Below are 24,665 nucleotides of genomic sequence, written 5' to 3'. Positions count from 1 at the left end.
AAGGGTGATGGGCACGGCACTCCAGAGGTTGTGCAGCTCGGTGGCCCTTAGGTGACATTTGAACAGAGACCAGGACAATGGGAGAGAGGGAGTCATGTGGGGCTCAGGAATGGTGTGCAGATGGAAGGAACAGCATGTACGAAGGCCTGAGGCAGGACATCCTTCTGTTTAGAGAACTAGGAGCCGATGCCAACCTGGAGGGAGAGGGAGAGGGCTAGGATAGCTGGGAAGATAATTACATGGCTGTGCAGAAAGCTGAAGGAGGTGTTAGTTGGATGTGGGAGTCAAAAGGAGTCCAGGCCACTTTCTCTTTTTATCAAACTGGAGAAACACACCTCCTTTCCATTTTAATGTCTCTGGAATCAGGATGCTCCTCACCTGCAGTGGCAGCTCATATTTGATGAAATACGGTAATTGCAAAGCCGGTTCAAGAAGCAAAGGTTTAGCCCTTGAGTGGAGCCCTTGAAGAGTTGCTGCTGTACTCATGGTTGGTGGCACCGAGAGAACATGGACCTTGATCACTCAGAGTTAAGGAGTGATTCAGAGAGTCAGACTCCAAAAGTGAAGAAGTTTAGGACATTCTGTAATCCACCCATTTCACTCGTGTTTCCTTTGTTTACGTGTGCCCGGAGTGTTCATAAGAATCTAAATAAGTCTCGCAGAGCTCTTTTGGCAAGTATCAAATACAAACTAAGGGATACGCAGGCCCCGCGGTGGAGGATTCGCGCTTCCTTTCTCAGAGGCACAGGTTGGTGGAGAGCCTCAGGACTCGGGCTTAGACCCTAGTTCTGCGACTTAGCACCTGTGTGACCTGATACCTGCTCCTCCCCTGTAGAAACATCAGAGAGAGGCACACCCCACCACACACACGGAGACACACGCAGAGATGCACCTGAGGCACACATGCACACATAAAACCACACAGACACGCACACACACACAGACAAAACCACACAGACAAGCACACACAGACACAGACAAAACCACAAACACACACAGACAAAACCACAGACATGTGCACACACACAGACAAAACCACACAGACACGCACAGACACAGACAAAACCACACACGCACACACAGACAAAAGCACACAGAGACACGTGCACACACACAGACAAAACCACACAGACACACACAGACACAGACACGCACACACACACAGACAAAACCACACAGAGACACGTGCACACACAGACAAAACCACACAGACATGCACACACACACACAGACAAAACCACACAGAGACACATGCACACACACAGACAAAACCACAGACACACACACACACAGACACAGACAAAAGCACACAGACACACACACACACACAGACAAAACCACACAGATTCACACATGCACACACAGACAAAACCACACAGAGACACACACAGACAAAACCACACAGACACAAGCACACACAGACCAAACCACACAGACACATGCACACACACGGAAAAAAACACACAGAGACACACACACAGACAAAACCACACAGGGACACACACACACAAAACTACACAGGAACACACACACACACACACATAGCCACAGCACCGCCTGGCACCTGGAGTCCTGGCCGGCACAAGGTCGGTGCTCAGTCAGTATCTGCTGAGTGACTGAGGAAGTCAGCACTGCCCCTCATGTGCCACAGTGGGAGGCACTGGGGGAGAGTCCCAACGCCTGTCTCAGGTGGGAGGCCCTAGAGGCGCAGCCCCAGGTGAGGACCTGCGTGCAGGCACCGTGGGAGTGCCCGGCCGGGCGGGCTTTGGGTGCAGAAGCAGGGCAGGCTAGGGACCGGAGGAAGCCTGGCCAGGGCCCCATTTCAGCCCCAGCCCAGCCCCAGCCTGATTCGTGGGCAGGCAAGCGGGAGGCAGTCTTCAGGCAAGGGAGCTGGGCCTCTGACCCCGCAGCCTCAGGCCGCAGAGTGACCCAGAGGGACTTTGGCCAGGTGTCTGCTGTAGCCTGAAGGCAGCCCCCGGAAGGGGTGTTTGCAGGTGCTGGCCACGGGAACGACAGCACCGAGAGATCCGTGGGGACCTCTGTGAGTTACCAGCGTTATCCACAACATACACGATGTACACGCTTTGGGGAAGGAAAAGCATCTTTTTTTTTTTTTAATTTTCTTTCTTTCTTTATTTTTTTGAGATGGGGTCTTGCTCTCTCGCCCAGGCTGGAGTGCAGTGGCATGATCATGGCTCACTGCAGCCTCGACCTCAGCAGCTCACGTAATCCTGCCACCTCAGTCCCCCGGGGAGCTGGGACCACAGGCAGTGTGCCATGGTGCCCAGCCAGGAGAAGCATCTTAACTTTATTCTGAATATGGAAAGAGAGGGAAATACCTGCTACCTCTGTTAGCATCGGGCATAGGAAGAACCCTGGGAGCCTCAGTTTCCCCCTTTGTAAATGGGTGCTGATGCCAGGGCCTGGCCTGCTGGGCCTGTGGAGCCTCAAATGGCCAGGACTGCACGAACATCCCCAGCGTCATTCTGAATCGTGCCTATCAGTGAGGCTCCGAGGCGTGCAGCTTCTTCCTGGTTGGTTTTGGGGCCGTCCGCAGAGTTAAATTGGCCACATTCCCTTCTGACCTGGGTGGGCTGGAGGGGGATGAAAGTGTGATCAAGACAAAGTGCCTCCCAGGGTTGGCCGTGCAGCCTGGCCCCCGCCTGCTTCTCTGCTTCTTTTTTTTTTTTTTTTTTTTTTTTGAGACAGGGTCTTGCCCTGTCACCCAGGCTGGAGTGCAATGGCGTGATCATGGCTCACTGCAACCTCTGCATCCCAGGTTCAAGCTATTCTCCTGCCTCAGCCTCCCAATTACCTGGGATTACAGGCGTGCGTCACCATGCCTGGCTAATTTTTGTATTTTTAGTGGAGATGGGGTTTTGCCATGTTGGTCAGGCTGGTCTTGAACTTCTGGCTTCAAGTGATCCACCTGCCTCGGCCTCTCAAAGTGCTGGGATTACAGGCATGAGCCACCACGCCCGAACCCCACCTGCTTCTTGATAATGAGAGATGAGTGTGGGGGAAAATCACTCACAGATGGCAGGGGGCCTGTGGCGGCTAAAATAGGCCAGAGCAGGGGGCCAGGCCCTCTTTTAAACGGACGAGTCTCGAATGAAAAGCCAGTGTTGGGGTGCAGGCCACAGCTGAGCAGGCAGCAGGCAGGAAGCCCGCCCTAGGCCTCTTTGGGCTGGAGGACAACTTCCTAAGTGAATGGCAGTCGGCTCTGAGAAGAAGACACAGTCCCTGGAGAGAGGCCAAGTTCCTCCTTGGCCAACAGCCTCTTACCTATAAATCCTTCAGTGTACAATTTCCGAAAACAGGGATGTTCCGGTAACATAACCACATATAATCACCAAACTCAGGAAATCACGTTGCCACAACTGCATTATCTCCATTTTTGTTCTAGTTCATAATCTAGTTTGTGCTCAAAAGTCATCGACTGTCCCAATAATGTCCTTTATAGCTGTGTTTTCTTTTCCTTTTTGAATCTAAAATCGGACCCAGGATCACCACACTGGTCGAGTTGTCAAGTCTCTTTAGCCTCCTTTAGTTCTTCGCTCACACCTTCCACCCCACTCCTTTCTGTCTTCCATCATGCTCACTTTCTTTTTTGTTTATTTTTTGTTTTTGTTTTTGTTTGTTTGTTTGTCTTTTGAGACGGAGTCTCGCTCTGTCGCTCAGGCTGGAGTGCAGTGGCGGGATCTCGGCTCACTGCAAGCTCCGCCTCTCGGGTTCACACCATTCTCCTGCCTCAGCCTCCCCAGTAGCTGGGACTACAGGCGCCCGCCACCACACCCGGCTAATTTTTTGTATTTTTAGTAGAGATGGGTTTTCACCGTGTTAGCCAGGATGGTCTCGATCTCCTGACCTCGTGATCCGCTCGCCGCGGCCTCCCAAAGTGCTGGGATTACAGGCGTGAGCCACTGTGCCCGGCCCGTGCTCACATTTTCATAGCATATGAACAAGCTATTTTGTAGAATGTCCTTCAATTTGAGCTTGTCTCTCACTGAGGCTTAGGCTACACATTTTAGGAATAGCACAGAAATGGGGTTACGTCCTCCTCAGGGCATCGTATCCAGGAGGCCCATGATGTGGGTTTGTGCCAATTTTGATGATGTCAGTTTTGATCAATTAAGTGTGTGTCCATTGAAAAGTCACTATTTCCCCCTTTGTAAATAATAAATAATTTGTGGGGAAACATTTTGAGACTATAAATATCCTGTCACTCAAAAAATTGTTGGCCAGGCATGGTGGCTCATGCCTGTAATCTCGGCACTTTGGGAGGCTGAGGCAGGCAGATTGCTTGAGGCCAGGAATTCGAGACCAGCCTGGGCAACATGGTGAGACCCCCCTCCTTTACTTTTACCAAAAAAAAAAAAAATTAGCTGCTGTGGTGGCATGCACCTGTAGTTCCAGCTACTTGGGAGGCTGAGGTGGGAGGACCACTTGAGCCCAGGAAATCAAGGCTGCAGTGAGGTGTGATGGTGCCACCACACTGCAGCCTGGGTGACAGAATGAGACCCTGTTTCAAAAAAAAAAAAGATTACTAGTTGTTAGCATGCACGAATGGCCTGATGCCATCATCCCTAACTGTATTAGTCCGTTGTCACACTGCTATAAAGAACTACCTGAGACTGAGTCATTTATGAAGAAAAGAGGTTTAGTTGACTCACGGTTCTGCAGGCTTAATAGGAAGCATGGCTGGGAGGCCTCAGGAAGCTTACAATCATGGCAGAAGGTAAAGCAGAAGCAAGCACCTTCTTTACATGGCTGCAAGAGAGAAAGAGAGAGTGAGGGGGAAGTGCCACACACTTTTAAACCATCAGATCTCGTGAGAACTCAGTATCACAAGAACAGCAAGGGGGATTATCTGCCCCCACCATCCAATCACCTCCCAACAGGTGCCTCCCCCAACGTTGGGAGTTACAGTTCGACATGAGATTTGGGTGGGGACACAGAGCCAAACCATATCACTGCTGAATTTGTTAGCTGGCAGATATATTAGTTATTAAAGAGGAGCTTTCTTTAAAAGAGAACTGTCCCTTCTTTCTCATTTGTTTATTCTTTCATTTGTTTGTGTCAGCATGGACTCAAGGATCTTATTTTATTTAGTGGGTTATAATTCCTTCCCATATTTATTTGGAAGTTCAAATTGTTCCAGATTGGGGCAGGCTGGCTTCTTTTTGACGTGTCCCCATTATTCTTTGAAAACGTTCTGGGGCAATAAGATGTTCTCAGCTCCTCTTTGTTCCTGCTAGCCCTGGAGTCAGCCTTTTCTTCAAGGCGCCCCAGTCCCCTAGAGTGGACAAGCATTGCATTTTATAAACTTGAACCAGCAGATCTTGGCATGGGAAGGGCCTCCATTCCTCCACAGTGCCCCCTGCTCCCTGTTCTCCACCCAGCCTGTGTGGTTCCTTTCAGGACCTCTCTAGCCCCTGCAGACATTTGCTGTGCAAACCTTGGCCTGGTCCAGCCCATTCAGAGTCCTGAGAACACAGTGGAGTTTCTCAACAGCAGGTGCTGCAGCGTTGGACGTGGCAAAGTTCTCTTCTGTTTGGTTTATTGTGACAACCATGTCCCCACTACATTTCCAGCACCCACCCCCACACTGGTCAAGAACCACTGTGGTTGAGTGTGATGAATGATCCAAGACGGAATTCTGTGAGGTGCTGTGAAACTGAGAGGGCAGGATCTGAAGTCAGGACTACAGTCTTCCCCTACAGGGAAGACTCAGGAAGGACTTCCTAGGGGAGGTGATTTATTTGAAGAATAAATAAGAATTGGTGAAAGGTAGAAAGAAGCATTCCAGGCAAGATTGACATACAAAATGTGATTAGGGGAACCTGAAAATTCCTTCCAGGAGCCTAAAGTTGGGGTGTGTGTGTCTGAAGAAGATAAGAGACAAGCCCAGAGGGATAAGTTGGGGCCATGTGAGTCAGAACGAGAAATCTGGATTTTGTTCCAGAAACCATAAGAGCCATGAAGGATTTTTGGTAGAATGGGGAGAGATCTTTGATGGGACGGTTCCAGCTGCTGTGGGAAGAATGGGTGGGGGTGGGTGTCTTAGTTATCAATGGCTGTGGAACATGTCACCCTAAAACTGAGTCATAAACATTTGCTGTCTGTCTTGGTCTCTGTGGACCAGGTATTTGGGAATAGCTCAGTGGGGGCTGTTGTGACTTGGGTTTCCTGGGGTCAGGATGCTGGCCTGAGGACTTCATCACAACCAGAGGACCTACTTCCAGGGTGGCCACTCCCACGACTGCCGTGTCTGCGTTGGCCTTGGCAGGAGGCCTCAGTTGCCTTCTCCGTGGGCCTTCCCATGGGCTGTCTGAGCATCCTCACGACATGGCTGTGGCTTCCCCAGAGTGAGGGAGCAAAGAGGGGAGCCAGCCACAGGCTGGCCCTTGTAAGACTAGCCTTACAGGCGACATAGCATCCCTCCCACCATGTTCTATTTGTTAGAAGCCACCACTGTGTGTGATCCATACTTAAGGGGATGGGAATTAGGCTCCACCTTTTAAAGGGAGGAGGTCAAAGAACGTGAGAACATATTTTAAAACTGCCACAGTGGGCTGAGTGTAATGACTCACTCCTGTAACCCCAGCACTTTGGGAGGCAGAGGTGGGAGGATGACTTGAGGGCCAAAAGTTCAAGATCAGCCTGGGCAACATAGCAAGACCCTTGTCTCTACAAAAACAAGAGGTCGAGGCTGCAGTGAGCTATGATCACACCACTGCACTCCAGCCTGGGCGACAGAGCAAGACCCTGTCTCTAAAAAACAAAATACAAAAGATAAACTGCTACAGTGCATTCCTCAAAAAGTTAAACATAGTTACTCTATGACCCTACAATGCTGCTCCCAGGTATAGGCCCAGAAGAATTGAAAGCAGGTATCAAACACTTACCTGTTCATAGCACTATTCACCACAGCGAGAAGGTGAACAGAACTCAAGAGTCCGCCAACAGATGAATGGATAAACAACTGTGGTCTGTGTGACGGAATATTATTCAGCCATAAAAAGGGATGAAACAGGCGGGTGTGGTGGCTCAAGCCTGCAATCCCAGCACTTTGGGAGGCTGAGGTGGGCAGATCACTTGAGGTCAGGAGTTCAAAACCAGCCTGGCTGACATGGCGAAACCCCATCTACTAAAAATACAAAAATTAGCCAGGTGTGGTGGCGGGCACCTGTAATCCCAGCTACTCAGGAGGCTAAGGCAGGAGAATCGCTTGAACCTGGGAGGCAGAGGTTGCAGTGAGCCAAGATCGCACCATTGTACTCCAGCCTGGGCATCAGAGTGAGACTCCATCTCAAAATAAATTAAAAAAAAAAAAAAAAAAAAAGGGATGAAACACCGATCCAGGTTATACAATGTGGATGAACCCTGATGCCATGGTGCTAAGTGAAAGAAGCCAGACGAAATGACCACATACTGTGTGACTCCATTGATAAGGAATGTCTAGGACAGGCCAGTCCATAGAGACAGAAAGCTGACTGGAGGCTGCCAGGAGCTGGGGGAGACAGAAATTAGGAGAAACTGCTTAATGGGTTTGGGGTTTCACTGTGGGATGAGGGAAGTGTTTTGGAGCTAGATAGGGGTGCTGGTTGTACAAAACTGTAAATGTACTGAATGCTGCTGGGGGCAGTAGCTCATGCCTGTAATCCTGGTGCTTTGGGAGGCCAAGGCGGGCAGATGTCTTGAACCCAAGAGTTCAAGACCAGCCAGGGACGCATGGCAAAACCCTGTCTCTACAAAATGTCAGCCAAGCGTGGTGGCATGTGTCTATAATCCCAGCTACTTAGGAGGCCGAGGTGGGAGGATTGCTTGAGCCTAAGAGGTTGAGGCTGCAAAAAAAAAAAAAAAAAAAGTACCAAATGCCAATTAATTGATCACTTTAAAATGGTTATTTTTATGTTATATGATTTCACCTAAATAAATTAGTTTTAAAACCCTAAAAACAAAACACCACAGTGGACAAGGCAGAACCAGGAGGACCAGTTGGCAAATCAGACAAAAAGGAGGGCAGAGGGGTGGGGTGGGGAGGAACCTGGGGTGTGCAGACAGTTAGGGTGACAGGCGCCATCCGAATGGTGGGGTCAGCAGGAGAGGAGAGGAGAGAGATGCCCAGCGTCTGGAGGAAGGGTGGATGAATCTAAAGCACAATGGGCTCCAGAAGCTTCTGGAAGGAGAGAGGACCTGTTTATGTGTTGGGTCTGCGGTGCCAGAGGGCCTCTCGGGCGGGGAGCTCATGTGAGTGTCTCCCACTGAATGAGTCAGGCGGAGAGTATGTTGGAAAAATACGCTGACATGTCCTGCGGTGTCAAACCATCCCTGGCCCAGCCACTGTGTCACTCAGCCCAAGGGCAGATGGGGAAATGTGCCTGTTGAGGTGCGAGTGGGGTGGGGAGAAGGTCACCCTAGTCCATCTGGGTTGCGGGGCGGGTGTGCTCACCTCAAAAGAAAAGTCTGGTCCAGGAATCCCAGTTGTCTGGATAGCGGTGTGTCTCCCATTTTACTAGGGGGAGGATGCAGATCCAGAGAGGTCCGGGTCCTGGGGAGTGAGGGGCGAGTCAGGTCTGCCTGGCCTCTACACTCATGCCCTTGTCTTTATTTCATGCTCAGCCCCTCATCACATAGGTACCGTTCGGAAGCACGTTCTAGAAAGTCCCCTCCTAAAAGTGGACACGGTTTGGGAGCAGGAGGAGGAAGCCTCGGCGGTGAGGAACGCTCACGGCAGGAAGGCGTGAAGGAGCCGCGCTCAGCAACTGCTGCAGCTCCGGTTTGGAACCAGGGCTGTCGGGGAGTTGAGCGTCTCTGGGTCTCGCTTCAGGTGTTCATCAAGGCACAGGCAAAAGCCACTTACTGGGGAAGGGGGTTGGGAAGAGCAGGCCCCGAAGTCACACTTGAGTTGGGATAATTTAGGGAGCGCTCAGGAAAAGGACTGTGCTCAAAGGTGCAGGGATGCGTGGGCTCCGGGACACCGCAGGCGGCGCACGGGCAGCACCAGGGCCGGCAACGGCAGGAGCGCCCAGCACTGAGGCCCGAGGGTAAGGTTGGGGACACGGGACGCAGCTGGCCCATGCGGCCCTGCAGAGAGGGAATTGGGGGAGTGGATGCGACTCAGCTCCTCCAGCCCTCTCCAGTCTCTTGCAGACACCTCCCACCTGCCAAACGCCTCCAGAGGCCGGGGGCAGCTGGTCCTACAGGGGGTTTCCCAAGGCCGGCATCCCTGGGTGGGGAAGCGTGGACGTGGGCCCCAGGCTGTGTGTGTGGACTTCAGGTGACACTGGATGGCATTCCGCAGCCCTGAGCCCCCCTCACGCACATGATCACACACGGGGGGTCCTGGCCGCCTCTCAGGAGGGGCCTCTCATCCTGCTGTTTGTAAACTTCAGAAAGCCAAACAGTCCCTTAGAGAAGCCAGGCCTGGATTTGCTCCGGACATCTGGAACAAGTTACCCTATTTCCCAATCTCTGCTGATCGTTCCCCGCTGCGGGAATGCTGCCCTCGGCCGACAGGGACGAGGACCTGTGGAGAGTGGCAGCCCCCACAGGCCGAGGCTGGCAAGGCGGGCACGGGGGCCGGGGCTCTGGTGGAAATGTCACATTTGAGGCAGCTCTCACAAGGGCCCTGTCTGATGCGAGGCCAGGCCTAGAGAGGATGGTGGAGACTGTGCGTGTGCAGGGTGTTCCGGAACCTTCCCTGGGATGCATGGGGCCTCGCCGCAGGCCATCTCTCCAGACCTGGACTCACCCTGCCCCTGTGCTGTTGCCTTTGTCTGGAATTCCACCCCAGCCTTCTTGCCTCAAGAACGCCCTTCCCCCTTCAGATCTCATGGGCACAGTCCCCGTCTTCCTAAACGGGGTCAGAGCCCCCAGTAATCATGACAAAGACCCTCTCCTCGATCAAGCTTTGGTCAGGCTCCTCCAAACCCTCTTCTCCAGGAGGCCTTGGCCTGGGGGCTTCTGCACTTGTCTTGGCTTTTTCCAGTTTTAGCAAGAACCCAGAGTCAATTAGGAAAACTCCCCGACCCCCGACGCGTGAGCAGTTCCTCGCCTGGCACTGCCCCTCGGGGGTGTCTGTTCACCTGGCCTGCCTTCGGCGAGAGTCCTGTTCCATCGGTTTAGCCAGAACTTCCCCCCACACCTAATGCTTCCTCTTAGTCATTTTCTTTTTTTGAGACGGAGTCTCGCGCTATCACCTTGGCTGGAGCACAGTGGCGCGATCTCAGCTCACTGCAACCTCCGCCTCCCAGGTTCAAGCGATTCTCCTGCCTCAACCTCCCAAGTAGCTGGGATTACAGGTGTGTCCCACCAAGCCTGCCTAATTTTTGTATTTTTAGTAGAAACAGGGTTTCACCATGTTGGCCAGGCTGGTCTTGAACTCCTGACCTCCAGTGATCCACCTGCCTCGGCCTCCCAAAGTGCTGGCATTACAGGCATGAACCACTGCGCCTGACCTCCTCTTAGCCATTTTCCATCCACTGAACCTCTGCTCCAGGTGACATCCCCACTCATCACCGCTGTATTCAGACCAGAGCCCAGGTCTACACCGAGGTCTCTTCTCTCATTTCAACAGTTCCTCAATAAAATCTGCTTTTACTGCTCACCTATTTTCTGGCTCTGGTTTCTTCGATAGTCGCATGGTCTGTCTCTCCTGCTGTCAGCGCCGGGTGGGCAGGGCTGTGTGTGTTCAGTTCCTGCTTGTCCATACCTTGTATATGGTGGAAGCTCCATAGAGAATTTTTTGAATAGGCCAGGTGCGGTGGCTAACACTTCTAATCCCAGCACTTTGGGAGGCCGAGGAGGGTGAATCACTTGAGGTCAGGAGTTTGAGACCAGCCTGGCCAACATGGTGAAACCCCATGTCTACTAAAAATACAAAAATTAGCTGGGCATGGTGGCAGGAGCTTGTAATCCCAGCTACTCAGGAGGCTGAGGCAGGAGAATCGCTTGAACCCGGGAAGTGGAGGTTGCAGTGAGCCGAGATTGCGCTACTGCACTCCAGCCTGGGCCACAGAGGAAGACCCTGTATCCAAAAAAAAAATTTTTTTTTGAATAGATGGATGGATAACTGGAAACCCTGATACAGGGTTTTTCTTTACTCAGTTTCTCCTGATGTAAACGGGTTTGGAACATGTGGCTGACACAATCCCTACCTCTTCCTCCGTGTATTTTTCATGTTTTGGGTACAGGGAAGTAGAAACAAGTAAAAGTCATTTGTTGAAGTTGCAGCAACGTTGAAAGCTGCAGTTGACCACTTTTCATAGGTCTTCAGCCGCTCTTAAACCTTCAGAGGTTTGTTCTCTGGGCCAGGCATTGCTGCCCACTGGGCTGGGCTGGTCTGAGCTGGGGTCGGGGGTGGCCAGAGTACTCCATCATCCCAAGAACCCTTTCCTCAGCGAACTCACCCACACAGAGGCCTCAGCTCCTAGCTGGACTCAAGGAATTGTACACGATTACAATTCCTTCCTGGGTACACGATTACAATTCCTTCCTGGGTACACGATTCTGTCTGCCCAGGTTTTTTTTTTCTTTTTTGAGACAGAGTCTCACTCTTGTCACCCAGGCTGTGGGTGGCTCACAGCAACCTCTGCCTCCCAGGTTTAAGCGATTCTTCTGCCTCAGCCTTCCCAGTAGCTGGGATTACAGGCTCCTGCCACTATGCCTGGCTAATTTTTGTATTTTTAGTAGAGATAGGGTTTCACCCTGTTGACTAGGCTGGTCTTGAACTCCTGACCTCAGGTGACCCTCCTGCTTCAGCCTCCCAAAGTGCTGGGATTACAGGCGTAAGCCACCGTGCCCGGCCTGCCCAGGTTTTCTTTAAGACAGCAGGGGGTCGGCCAGGCGCCGTGGCTCATGCCTGTAATCCCAGCACTTTGGGAGGCAGAGACAGGCAGATCACCAGGTCAAGAGATCGAGACCATCCTGGCCAACATGGTGAAACCCCGTCTCTACTAAAAATACAAAAATTAGCTGGGCATGGTGGTGTGTGCCTGTAGTCCCAGCTACTCAGGAGGCTGAGGCAGGAGAATCGCTTGAACCCGGGAGGTGGAGGTTGCAGGGAGGCAAGATCGCACCACTGCACTCCAACTTGGCGACAGAGTGAGACTCTGTCTCAAAAAAAAAAAAAAAAAAAAGGGTAGGGGGTATAAAACGGGGTGTACATCGAAATTCAGATTTCTGAGCCTCCTAGATTCAGGAGGACAGGGATGGGGATCCTAACAGGGAGGGCTTTCGGGGGCCCAGGCTGACAGAATGGCCTGTGGCCTCTCTATGGGAGGGGGCCCCCACATCTGGAATCCTGATGCGGAGAACGCTGATGAACTGCGAGACATTTGGACAATACTCACCGGGGTCTTGATGGCTTTGCCTGAATAAAGAGAACCGTGAGCCGGGTGGCCCTTCTGAAAACGACGGTTAGCAGAATGGTTTGGCTCATTAACAGCCTCTCAGAAAGCCTGGTCTGGAAAATCTGTGCAAGAAAAAATAAAATGGAAACAAACATGTAAAAAGAGGGGAAAGATGTTTTCATAAAAGCTGGAACATTTTGGGGTTAAACTCAGCTGCTCACACAGATTCATTTCAGCTCCTCAGCGTTATTCTATATGATTTATTTCCTGTTACAGCATTTGACAATTGTTGTGTAAACTGTTTTCATTTATTCTGGAAAAACATCGTTTCCTGCTTTGGGGAAGTCTTACCAGGACCCAATTAAATCAAAACAACAACAACTGGTTTTGATTTGGAAAAACAAAACCCACAAGAAGACAGAAGGGTCAAAAAATGCTGATTCCAAAAGGAACCTCAGCTATTCCAGAATGAGTTACCCAGGGCACCTCTGGCCCCCTGGAAGGTGGAGGTCTGAATCTTGCTGTGTGCTCTTGGGCAAGTAACTTAACCTCTCTGAGCCCTGTTTCTTCAATTGTAAAATGGGGACAGTAGTCAGTTCCCCTCCTATGGATGTTACGAGCATTAACTGAGACTGGACATGGCATTTGTAAACACTGAGCAATGGAAGCATGTTCACACTTGTAAGTGGGAACTCAGTGGTGACAACACATGGACGCTATGGGGGAGCAGCAGCCGCTGGGACCTGCTCAAGGGAGGAGGGCGGGAGGAGGTGGGGAGGAAGTTGGGACGAGGGTGGGAGGAAGGAGTGGAGCAGGACAATTCATATTGGGCATTATGCTTATTACCTGGGTGACAAAATTATCTTTTTTTTTTTTTCTGAGATGGAGTCTCACCCTGTTGCCCAGACTGGAGTGTAGTGGCGCCATCTTGGCTTGCTGCAATCTCTGCCTCCCAGGTTCAAGCAATTCTCCTGCCTCAGCTCCCAAGTATCTGGGACTACAGGCACCTGCCACCCCACCCAGCTAAGTTTTGTACTTTTAGTGGAGAGGGGGCTTCACCATGTTGGCCAGGCTGGTCTCAAACTCCTGACCTCAAGTGATCTGCCCACCTCGGCCTCCCAAAGTGCTGGGATTATAGGTGTGAGCCACCACGCCTGGCCCAGGTGACAAAATTATCTGTACGCCAAACCCCCATGGCACAGTTTGCCTATATAACAAACCAGTACATTTTGCCTATGTAACAAACCAGCACATGCACCCTTGAACCTAGAAGTTAAATTAAAGAAAAATGGTAACAATTATTTTTCTTCTTCTTTCTTTCTTTTTTTTTTTTTTTGAGATGGAGTCTCGCTCTTGTCACCCAGGCAGGAGTGCAGTGGCGCAATCTTGGCTCACTGCAACCTCCGCCTCCCAGGTTCAAGTGATTCTCGTTACTCAGCCTCCCAAGTAGCCGGGATTATAGGCACCCGTGACCATGCCCAGCTGACTGTTGTATTTCTAGTAGAGATGGGGTTTCACTATGTCGTCCAGGCTGGTCTTAAACGTCTTTTTTTTTTTTTTTTTTTTTTTTTTGAGACGGAGTCTCACTCTGTCGCCCAGGCCGGACTGCGGACTGCAGTGGCGCAATCTTGGCTCACTGCAAGCTCCGCTTCCCGGGTTCACGCCATTCTCCTGCCTCAGCCTCCCGAGTAGCTGGGACTACAGGCGCCCGCCACCGCGCCCGGCTAATTTTTCGTATTTTTAGTAGAGACGGGGTTTCACCTTGTTAGCCAGGATGGTCTCGATCTCCTGACCTCATGATCCACCCACCTCGGCCTCCCAAAGTGCTGGGAATACAGGCGTGAGCCACTGTGCCCAGCCTGCTATTCTTTTTCTTAAATAAAATTTTTTAATTTTTAATTTTTGTGGGTACATAGTAGGTATATATATTTATGGGGCCCATGAGATTGTTTGAAACCGGCATACAATGGGTAATAATCACATCAGCATTTAGCCTTTCTTGATGTCACAACCAATCCAATTCTACTTCTTCTTCTTCTTCTTTTTTTTTTTTTTTTTTTTTTGAGACAGAGTCTTGCTCTTCACCAGGCTGGAGTGCAGTGGTGTCATCTTGGCTCACCGCAACCTGCGCCTCCCTGGTTCAAGCGATTCTCCTGCCTCAGCCTCCCGAGTAGCTGGGATTAGAGGCGCCCACCACCACGCCCAGCTAATTTTTGTATTTTTAGTAGAGATGTGGTTTCACCGTGTTGGCCAGGATGGTCTCGATCTCCTGACCTCATGATCCACCCGCCTCGGCCTCCCAAAGTGCTGGGATTATAGGCGTGCGCCACCGCGCCCGGCCAGGAGTTTCTACTTCTTCTATAATGTGAACACGGCCAAGAACAAGGGCGTTTTCTTTACTGTGCTTCATAAATCCATTCACATTGCAAAGGTTCCAGCAGGAACTGAAAACACCTAGATTTGAATTTTGGACATAAAACAGACTTATTATAGATGAAATAACTGAGATTCAAAAAAGGATGTGGGATTCACTTGTTAAGGGCTCATCCCATTAAAGGCAAAGTTGTCTTTGGTTCTAAAATAATCTTTTCATCTGAAAGAAAATGGGACTCTCCTTTAGAAAATAGTGGTTTGCAGCCAGGAGTCAAATCACTTTGGGAGGCCAAGGCGGACGGATGGTTTGAGGCCAGGAATTCAAGACCAGACTGAGCAGCAAGCTGAAACCCCGTCTCTACAAAATATATTTTTAAATTAATTAATTAATTAATTTGTTTATTTTTTGAGATGGAGTTTCGCTCTTATTGCCCAGGCTGGAGTGCAGTGGCGCAATCTTGGCTCACTGCAACTTCTGCCTCCCGGGTTCAAGCGATTCTCCTGCCTCAGCCTCCCGAGTAGCTGGGATTACAGGCATGCGCCACCACCACGCCAGGCTAATTTTATATTTTTAGTAGAGATGGGGTTTCTCCATGTTGGTCAGGCTGGTCTCGAACTCCTGACCTCAGGTGATCCGCCCGCCTCAGCCTCCCAAAGTGCTGGGATTACAGGTGCGAGCCACCCCGTGGCCCACAATGTATATTTTAAAACCGCCAGACGTGGTGGTGCGTGCCTGTAGTTCCAGCTACTAGGGAGGGTGAGGTGGGAAGATCCCTTGAGCCTGGGAGGTGGAGGTTGCAGTGAGCCGAGATGGCGCCACTGTACTCCAGCCTGGGTGACTGAGCGAGACCATCTCAAAAAAAAAAAAAGGAAAGAGAAGGAAAAGTGATTTTCAAATCTCCAGTCAAGTCATTCTTTTATGGCCGTGATCAAAAAAACAAAATTGTTATTTAGCCAATTCAGTGAAGTTAGCTGGAGAAAAAAAGAACTTTCGGTGAGCTGGCATTGGTGCAGGATGAAATTCAGGTGGTGGGAAAGGGCTTCTGGAACGCTCGTTAGAGTTGGAACTGAACGAGGACAGGTTTTCCTGCAGCTCCCAGCAGCAAGGACCAGGGTCTGGGCTGGCTGGAGGGAGGCTTGAGTTTTGCCGTGAATGCGGGGAGGTAGCTGCAGCTGTGAGTCGTGACTCACAGACACCTCGAGGACCCGTCTGCTTGGTGTGTGGGGAGTTGTGCTCCAGTGTCCACTGTTTCTGGGGGTTGTGATCACACGGCACCCCCCAGGCTTGGCACAGAACAGCAGGGGCCACCTGGCTGGCTGGGGAAGGCCACCCTCGCCCATGTGTGACTGGCTGGACCAAAGCCCCTGCCAGGTCACAGCACAGAAGAGGGCCGCAGGCTGCCCTGCTAAGTTCATCATCTCATCTGGCCTCCCCCTGGCAATGGAGAGAGGGAGGCCAGGGGCTGAAGGCCAAGAAAGCAAGTTGAGCTCAGCATCGGCAGAGCCGGGCAAAGGAAACAGAACAAGTGCAGGCCAGGCTGACAGGCCAAGGTCAGCCCCTAGGCTCCAGACCAAGCAGCTGACGACAGGCCGGAAGCCACGCCAGGCAGGCAGGCCAGAGTCAGCACTGGGATACCGGCTGGGCGGCGGATAGCCTGGCAGCGGGCAGGAGCCACCCCCTAGCCCAGGGGTTCCCAGCAGTGCGCCTGAGGACACAGACAGCTCCCCACAGCTGTGATCTGGCCACCTCCCGCTGAGGACGGGCTGCGGAAGGGGTCGGAGGGCGAGGTGGCCGTGGCAGAGCACTCGGGGGTGACCTCAGTGCTTGGCATGCACCGTATTCCTGCTTCTCAGCTGTGACGTGCTCTGATTCAAGGCCAGGACTTTGCACAGGGCTAGAGGGCCCTCATGACAAGGACAGCCCAAAATTTCAAGAACCTTCCTGACAAGTCAGGGGCAGCTCAAAGCGGTGGCCTAGACCCTCCAAATAGTCATGAGCCCTTCTTCCTTGTGTTTGAGATTGGGTCCCCCAGAAGCAGAGCCTGAAGCAAGGAATTGAGTACGAATAGTTTAAGGAGAGGGAGGTGCTCCCAGGGAGCACAGGTGAGGGAATGGGGAAGTAAGGCAGGGTGGGGAAGGCAATAAAGAGTGGGGTGCCTGCTGGGGGCTCCAGGGGTGACTAGAACGTGCCTCAGAGTCATCCACGTATGGGGCAGGGAGCTGGTGTTTCTACACCCATTCTTTCTTTTTTTTTTGAGATGGGGTCTCACTCTGTCACCCAGGCTGGAGTGCAGTGGTGCGATCTCAGCTCACCGCAATCTCTGCTTCCTGGGCTCAAGCAATTCTCCAGTCTCAGCCTCCCAAGTAGTTGGGACTACAGGTGCGAGCCACCGACACCTAGCTAATTTTTGTATTTTCTGTAGAGACAGCATTTCACCATGTTGGTCAGGCTGGTCTCAAACTCCTGAGCTCAAAGCAATCCGCCCCTCTTGGCCTCCTAAAGTGCTGGGATTACCGGCATGAGCCATTGGGCCCGGCCATCCACACCTGTTCTTGACCTTCCTTGCTGGAGGGCTGCTCTGGGGACATCAGCTCCTCGTAGGGTGACCAGCTGTCCCAGATTGCCTGGCACTGAGGGGTTGTCTGGGACGTGGGACTTTCAATGCTGAAACCAGGAATGCCCTGGGCAGACGGGAATGAGTTAGGCACCCTCCTCTCCAGCCCTTTTGGCCAGCCCCTTACGAACCCTGAGTTTGCTCCTGCAGTCAGAGAAAGCCCTCAGGGACTGCAGGAAAGAAGCCGCTGGCATGAGCCACACTGTGCATTCAGAGGGGCACAGCTGGGGCCTCCAGCAGCATCTGCTAGGCCAGACCAGCTGCTCCCATGAACCCGTGCCTGCCCACTCTCCTGGTGTCCTTCCTGCTGCCTCCCCTTACTCCAGCCAGGATGTTCTGGCCAGCCTTGAGGTTTGGCAAACACCAGGATGCTCTGACCTCAGGGCCCCTGCACTGGCTCTTCCCTCTGCCTGGACATCTCTTCCCTGGACTCATACCCTCACCTCTTTCTCTGCTGCTCAGTGTAATTGTACCCGTGGGGCCTTCCACTTTCTTCCTCTTCCAGGAAGCTCCCCTTCCCCTTTTTTCCCTGGAGCAGGTGTGTCCACTGACGCACCATCTGTCTTATGTGTTAATTGTCTATCTCCGGCACTAAGACACAGCCTGCAGGAGGAAAGTTGACTGGTTGTCACCAGTGGGGTATTCCCGACACAGAGATCAGGGCCTGGCAAGTAGTAAACATTCAACCACTAAATAAATGCATTGAAATCACCTAAAACCAACACTAGCTAAACAGAAATAACGGTGTCAAATGCACCTGGAGATGAGACTCCACGGAGTTAGCTTCCTCCAAAGGAAGCTAGGGGATTGTCAGTTATGGATGTAAGGCAGCGAACCTGGGTTCCCGCAGCTCCCTGCAGCCACTGCCTCTGCTGCCTCAGGCCCTGCCAGCCTCCAGCATTCCCCAAAGTGAACGTTAGTCAGGATGAGGACTTGCTGACTTCTCTACTTGAGCAAATTAATCTTATGCAGAGCCCTGTCGAATAAAACAGAAAATGTGGTATTGCCTTCATTAGAGCACAGATGGGGAGTCTAGACCTGCCTGCAGCCCACCTCCCTCATGGGGGCCTGAATAGCCCTAGGGATTTGGGGTGCAGCTGGAAGTCCAGTAACTTGGGGTGAAAGGAGTGGGAGGGGATAGGGACGATGCGAAACTCTGCAGGGCTGAGCCCGGAGCTTCTCCAGCGGCAGCGTGCAGGCCCACTGGTTGAGGGCTCATTACAATTCGAAGGTCAATGCACAAGGTTTGAGCTGGAACCAGAGCATCAGCATTTCTAACCAGCTCCCAGGGGTCCCAAAGCTGATGCTGCAGGTCCGTGGCCAGGGCTGTGGGCAAGTCTCCCTCTCTGCCTGAGTCACAAGGAATTTGATCATCTTGCCTGCACTTTCCACAAGCTCAGCAGTGGTGAGGAGCAGGAGAGAGGAGGCAGAGGCCCGGGGAGTTCACCGGAGGCACATCTCAGACACAGAGGCCCAAGGGTCTGAGCTAGTCACTGTGTAAGCTGTGGTGAAAAAGAGGCCCTGTAGTACACGATCCTAAACAAGATAGATGCTTGTTTCTCTCCGATAGCACAGAGGGAGGTGGCCCGGGGCTGGGAGGCCAGCTCTGCTAGCTTCAACACGTGGGGTTTGCTTTGCTGTTGTTATTTTTAATTTTTAAGAATTTCTCCAGTGTCAGAATCTAAGGGCACAGCACATGGTTTTTTAACCTCTGGATCCAAAGTGGTTGCTTCAGCTCCTGCCATCATGTCTACATCCCAGATAGTGGGAAGGAAGGAAAGGCAAATGTGATTAAGTTGAGGACCTTTGGATGGGGAGGTTTTCCTGAATTAACTGGGCGAGCCCAATGTCATCACAGGGGCCCTTTCTAAGAGGGAGGTGAGGGGGTCAGAGTCAGAGGGGAGATGGGACAATAGACTCTGAGGTTGGAGTGATGCATTTTGAAGACGGAGGAAGGAGACCATGAGCCAAGGGATGCGGGTGACCTCTAGGAAGCTGGAAAAGGCAAGCAAGGGATGAATCTCCCCGACTCAACACAGCCATGCCCATGCCCACACCATGCCCTTGCCACACCCACTCACCAACGCCCACATCCACACCCATGCCCACACCCACTTATCCACACCCAGGCCCACTCACCCACACCCACTCACACCCATGCCCACTCACCCACACCCACTCACCCACACCCACACCCCTACCCACTCACACCCACACCCGCTCACCCACGCCCACTCACCCACACCCACTCACACCCACTCACCCACACCCCTACCCACTCACACCCACACCCACTCACACCCACTGAACTACACCCACTCACCCACATCCACAGCCACTCACCCACACCCACTCCCACACCCATTCACAGCCACTCACACTGTCACCCACACCTACTCACCCATACCCATTCACCCACATCCACTCACCCACACCCATACCCATTCATCCACACCCACACCCACTCACCCACACCCACTCACCCACACTCACAGCCACTCACCCACGCCCATTTATCCACACCCACACCCCCACTGACACCCACACCCACTCACCCACACTCACACCCACACACACCCACTCACCCACACCCACTCACACCCATACACTCACTCACACCCACTCACCCACTCCCACACCACTCACACCCACACCCACTCACCCACACCCACACCCACTCACCACACCCACACACCCACACCCACTCACCCACACTCACAGCCACTCAGGCTGGCACCACGCAGACGTGCCATTTCCTTCACATCCCATCTTTGATGTAGGAGGAAAGCGGAGTGCCCCTAGAAAACCCACGCAGACACGGGAGCGTGCAGACGCCGCACACACAGGGGCCCCAGCCGGGAAGCGACATTCCCCCCATTAACGCGGCGCTGAAATCACACTGAATGGCGTGGCCCTGGGGCCTTCCACGTGTTAGGCTGGTTTCAGCCTCTGCATTTGCAGCCGTTGGCTGGGGTGGCCTTAGGAATGAACACGTGTGCCGGGGAACACACGCCCCCGCTTAACCCCAAGGCTCCTTCTGGCTTGAGAGCGTGGGGGCGGCAGCCTGGGCTCTCCATGACTCCTCTGGGTCCTGATCTGCGTGTGGGGGCTGCACCCTGACTGAGACCCGGCCCTTGGTGTGTTTCCCTCCTTTTGGGGCCTTCCGCCAGGCCTTCCTACCATCAGCTGAGGACAGAAATGTGCAACCCGGGCAGATGTTGAAGAAAGTTTCAATCTCTGCTTTGCAACTGCCAAGGGACTTTGAAAGAACATCCAAGTGAGACCAACCTCCCGCCACGACAACAGCTCTTGAACACCGCTTCCCCTGCTCCTGCTCTCTGATGGGATCGTGTCAGAGTTACTCAGGCCCACTGACTACCCCCCAACCCCCTAAAAACCTCTTACATGGCCCCAGATCACTCAGATTGGAGGCTCACTTGGCCCTTCTCCCCTTCCTCCTCTCCATGCCCCTCCCCGTGCCAGGCACCACCTCCCCGTCCTGCTGGCTGCTGGGGGTCCCACCCTCGCTCATGGCCACAGCATCCGCAGCATCCGGCGGCATCGCAGCATCCACTTCTCCTGCTCCTCCCTCACCGAGGGTTCCCCCATAACCCCCTACTCTGGCAATGTAGTTTTTTCTCACTCTGCCTCTCCCTGGAGGATTTCTGGTGAATTTTACCAATAAGCAAGCTTTTTAAAAATAAGTGACGTTCTTCGAGGACTACTTATGTGTCTGGCACTGTGCCCAACATTTCCTAGACTACACAACCTCCTTTCAACATCCTGATTGCCCTTCCCTACAAGGATAATTATTAGGCAGCCTTTTCTCCATTTTGTAGATAAGGAAACGGGCTGGAGGGGTTCCCAAGGTCTCCCAAGGTCTCCCAAGGTCACGGTGCTGGGAGCTGGAGGAGCTGGGTGCAGACCCGGGTCTGGCTTGGCATCGAAGCCCCTGGGCGGCTCTATTTTCTGTTTCTGGGCTGTTGCAGGAACTGGCTGCAAAGAACCATCCCTTCTCACTGGCCTGAACAGCTTGTCCACATTTTCTTCCAGAAGAGTGGCCCTTAGCGTCCCTAGGGCCACTTCCCTCTTTTCCTGACAAGGAAGATAAACTGAGCCGGTGCTGTGGGTCTGAGGCTGGGCCAGGGAGGCTGAGCGGCTCTGGCTCTGGCCGGATCCCCGGCCCAGGACCAGGACTGAGTCAGCGAATGCACAGCCCCACCCTTGGGATGGGTCAAGCCAGGCCCAGGGAAATGGCACCGCTCCCCCTGGCTGGGCTGGGAGGCTTTGTTTAAAGGGTGTCTTTTCAAAGGACCGTTCTGAGTAATAGGCCATGCAGGGGCTGTGGACAGCAGACCATTTAACCCCTGGCCAGCGCCCCTCTTCCCCCATCTTGAAACCCCCTGAAGCTGAAGGGGAGAAGGCTGGCCTGGAGCCCAGGGCTCCGAGCCTCCGTTTCTTACCTGTAAAATGGAGCAACAGCCTGTCTGCCCTCCTCCAGGTGCTGTGAGGACCAAATGAGATCATGGAAAGAAAAGTGCTTAGGAAAATCACCCATTCCATGAAGCGTCTTCGTGAAGAGCTGCGATGGGCCAGGGTGGGGAGGGGGTGTGCAGAGGGCTCTGTCGGGAGGGCGGAGTCATGCCCAGATGAACCTGGGAGCCCCGGAGTGCCGGGCGGTTCTGGGGCACCGGAGGGAGCTGTAGCTGGAAGGGTGGAGGGCAGTGAGCTGGAGGAGGTGCTGTCCCAGAGGCCAGAGCCAGCAGGAATGCCAGTTCATCCCAGCCTCGCACTCAGGGCCTGGCACGCTTTAGCTCACAAGCTCTTGCAAACAGGGGGCTGAGGCTCTGGAGACGGCACTTGTCCAAGGGCACACGGCCGGGGCCTGGTGGAGCTGGGTTTGACGGCCTGAGCGGAGGCCCAGAGGCGCCTGGGAGTGGGAGGAGGGGCAGGACGTGCAGGTGGCCAGGGGCCAAGGCGGGGAACCCAAAGGCCACCCTCACAGCCTGAAGGTCAATGGGATGGCGAGGGCACCCTGTGGGAGGGTCTGAGTGAGGGAGGGGACAGAAGACGCAGGGTCCTTGTGCCAGGAGCCCCATCCGTTCTCTCCGTGACTCTGCCAGGGCTGGGCTGCGGACGCTTCCCTCTCATCACTGAAGGGTGTCGCTTCCCTTTTCGGGACCCTGCCTGGGCCTTGGTCTTCTGGACAAACACTTGGAGTAGGGCGAGAACATATCCTCTCGGAGATAAGGCCGGGGCAGGCTCAAGGCCAGACCTCCCTGGAGCTGGCTTCATGGATGGCTGCGGGCTCCCAGCCTGACTCTCTGGGCCTGGAGACGCTGGAGTTTTTCTGGTGATAAGTTACCCTTGAACCCCTGAGGAACTCAGGGGGGCCTAGCGCCCTTCCAGGACTATATGGAGTTTACAGACAAATCTGACGGGAAAGTCTGTGGCCTTTAAACAAATGCAATACTCAATGCACTGCTTTGCTTTGGTGTGCAATGAAGGCCCGGCCACTTGAAGGAGGGCTTGTGACAGAGCCCCTAACCTGGACGTGGAATGGAGCTCAAGCACCTGTTCTTTTTGTTCTTTTCTTTCTTCTTTCTTTCTTTGTTTTGAAACAGGGTCTTGCTGTCTTGCCCAGGCTGCAGTGCTGTGGTGTGATCCTGGCTCACTGCAGCCTCAAACTCCCGGGCTCAAGCAATCCTCCTGCCTCAGCCTCCCAAGTAGCTGGGATTACAGGCTCACGCCACCATGCCCGGCTGATTTTTAAAATTTTTTTGTAAAGATAAGAGTCTCCCTATGTTGCACAGACTGGTCTCGAACTCCTGACCTCAAGCAATCCGCCTGCCTCGGCCTCCCTCTCAAAGCACTGAGATTACAAGCGTGAGCCACTGCACGTGGCCTCAGGCACCTTTTCTAAACTCTTTTGCTTAGGGATCAGTTTGGGAAAAATTATAATGTTCATGGGGTGCACCTGTTTTCTCTCATTAACAATTAAAATAGCTCTAGAGAATCTCATGGGAGAAGCATGGATTTTTTTTTTTTTAACAGCTTTTTTTTGAGGTATAATTCACATACCACACAATTCACCTGTTAAAAGCCCACAGTACAGTGGTTTTTAGTGTATCCACAGAGGTGTGCAGCCATCACTACAATCCTCTTTAGAATATTTTATTTCCCCCCAAAAAAACCCCTGTACCTTAACCATCATCCCCAATTCCCCAACTTCCTCCAGCCCCTGCTAACCATGAATCCACTTTCAGTCTCTCTGGATTTGCCTGTTCTGGACGTTTCCTATAAATGGCGTCATGCAGTCTGTGGTTCTTTGTGTCTGGCTTCTTTCACTCAGCACCACGTCTTCAAGGTCGTGAACATTGTCACACATACCTGAACACCATTCCTTCTTCATGGCCAAATAATGTTCCATTGAGTGAATGGAGCACTTTTTGTTTCTCCATCATCAGCTGATGGACATGTGGGCTGTTTCCACTTTTTTTGGCTACTGTGAATAGTGCTGCCAAGAGCATTCTTGCACACGTTTTTGTGTGAACGTAAGTTTTCATTTCTCTTGGGCGTAAACTCACAAGTGGAATTGCTGGGTCCTTTGGAAACACTATGTTTAACCTTTAGAGGAACAGCCAGATTGAGAACACATAGATTTTTACAACTTACATGACCTGTTTATTAAGAAAATTCGCTGATATTGGTGAATGTTTACTACGGGCCAGGGTGTCTCATGAATGATCTTATTTTGTCCCCACAACAAGCTTATTTGGTCGGTTCTGTTACTGTCCCCAGTGGACAGAGCGGGAAAGCTGGGGATCGGAGAGGTTGTGAAACCCGAGTAGATTCAAATCCCAGCTCGTATGAATCAGGGATTTGAATCCAGGCCGTGGGGTCCCCTCCCTTCTGATGCTTCCTGATGAGTGGCCTCTACTGAAGTGCCCAGTCTGCAGAGCACTGAGGCTCCTTTCCAGCCACAGAAGCACTCATTTTGGAGAACTGGCAACCCCGAGGGTACGTTTAACTCTTCCTTCTGGATTCGATGGGAGCTGGGTCATGGGCGCTGTGTGTCGAGGCCGTGACCATTCCCAGCTCATTCCTCCATCAGGACATATGAACCACCTACTGCAGCCAGCACAGGCCAGGCCCGCAGAGTCCAGTGCCCTCGTTCCAGGTCAGCCTCCTCGTAGTGCAGGGCGCTGCCACCACCGCATGTTGTCCTTCCTGATGGCAACACTGGCTGTGCAAATGAAGGCAGTGTTCCTATTTGGCCTGATTCATTGGTTCTCATATTTGAGCTGCATCAGAATTTCCT

General features: G+C 52.6%; 1 long non-coding RNA gene across 3 annotated transcripts, besides 2 other annotated features; it reads right to left on the bottom strand.

The window, feature by feature from the left end:
• Positions 1,308 to 1,808: an enhancer, noted in NCBI's record as "H3K27ac-H3K4me1 hESC enhancer chr16:84982211-84982711 (GRCh37/hg19 assembly coordinates)". NCBI's record gives its function as "activates a minimal SCP1, AML or CMV promoter by ChIP-STARR-seq in naive H9 embryonic stem cells {active_cell/tissue: H9 hESC(naive)}" and the evidence as "EXISTENCE:reporter gene assay evidence [ECO:0000049][PMID:30033119]".
• Positions 1,809 to 2,309: an enhancer, noted in NCBI's record as "H3K27ac-H3K4me1 hESC enhancer chr16:84981710-84982210 (GRCh37/hg19 assembly coordinates)". NCBI's record gives its function as "activates a minimal SCP1, AML or CMV promoter by ChIP-STARR-seq in primed H9 embryonic stem cells {active_cell/tissue: H9 hESC(primed)}" and the evidence as "EXISTENCE:reporter gene assay evidence [ECO:0000049][PMID:30033119]".
• Positions 7,356 to 22,438, bottom strand: LINC02176 (long intergenic non-protein coding RNA 2176). Of its 3 annotated transcripts, XR_933830.2 has the most exons (4): positions 21,808 to 22,438; positions 12,357 to 12,478; positions 8,456 to 8,554; positions 7,356 to 7,513 (listed from the first exon to the last, which is right to left on the bottom strand). It is a non-coding gene; the product is annotated as a long intergenic non-protein coding RNA 2176 (long non-coding RNA). The 3 variants fall into 3 exon arrangements; XR_933831.2 differs by lacking the exons at positions 12,357 to 12,478; positions 21,808 to 22,438 and adding an exon at positions 10,614 to 10,801; XR_933832.3 differs by lacking the exons at positions 7,356 to 7,513; positions 8,456 to 8,554 and adding an exon at positions 10,994 to 11,032.
• Positions 22,439 to 24,665: the final 2,227 nt, after the last annotated feature.

The sequence above is a fragment of the Homo sapiens genome, chromosome 16 (genome assembly GCF_000001405.40).
Source record: "Homo sapiens chromosome 16, GRCh38.p14 Primary Assembly".
In the NCBI taxonomy this organism is placed as follows: Eukaryota; Metazoa; Chordata; class Mammalia; order Primates; family Hominidae; genus Homo; species Homo sapiens.
Note: the sequence above shows the minus strand (reverse complement) of the source record. Positions and strands in the feature narration are given on the sequence as shown.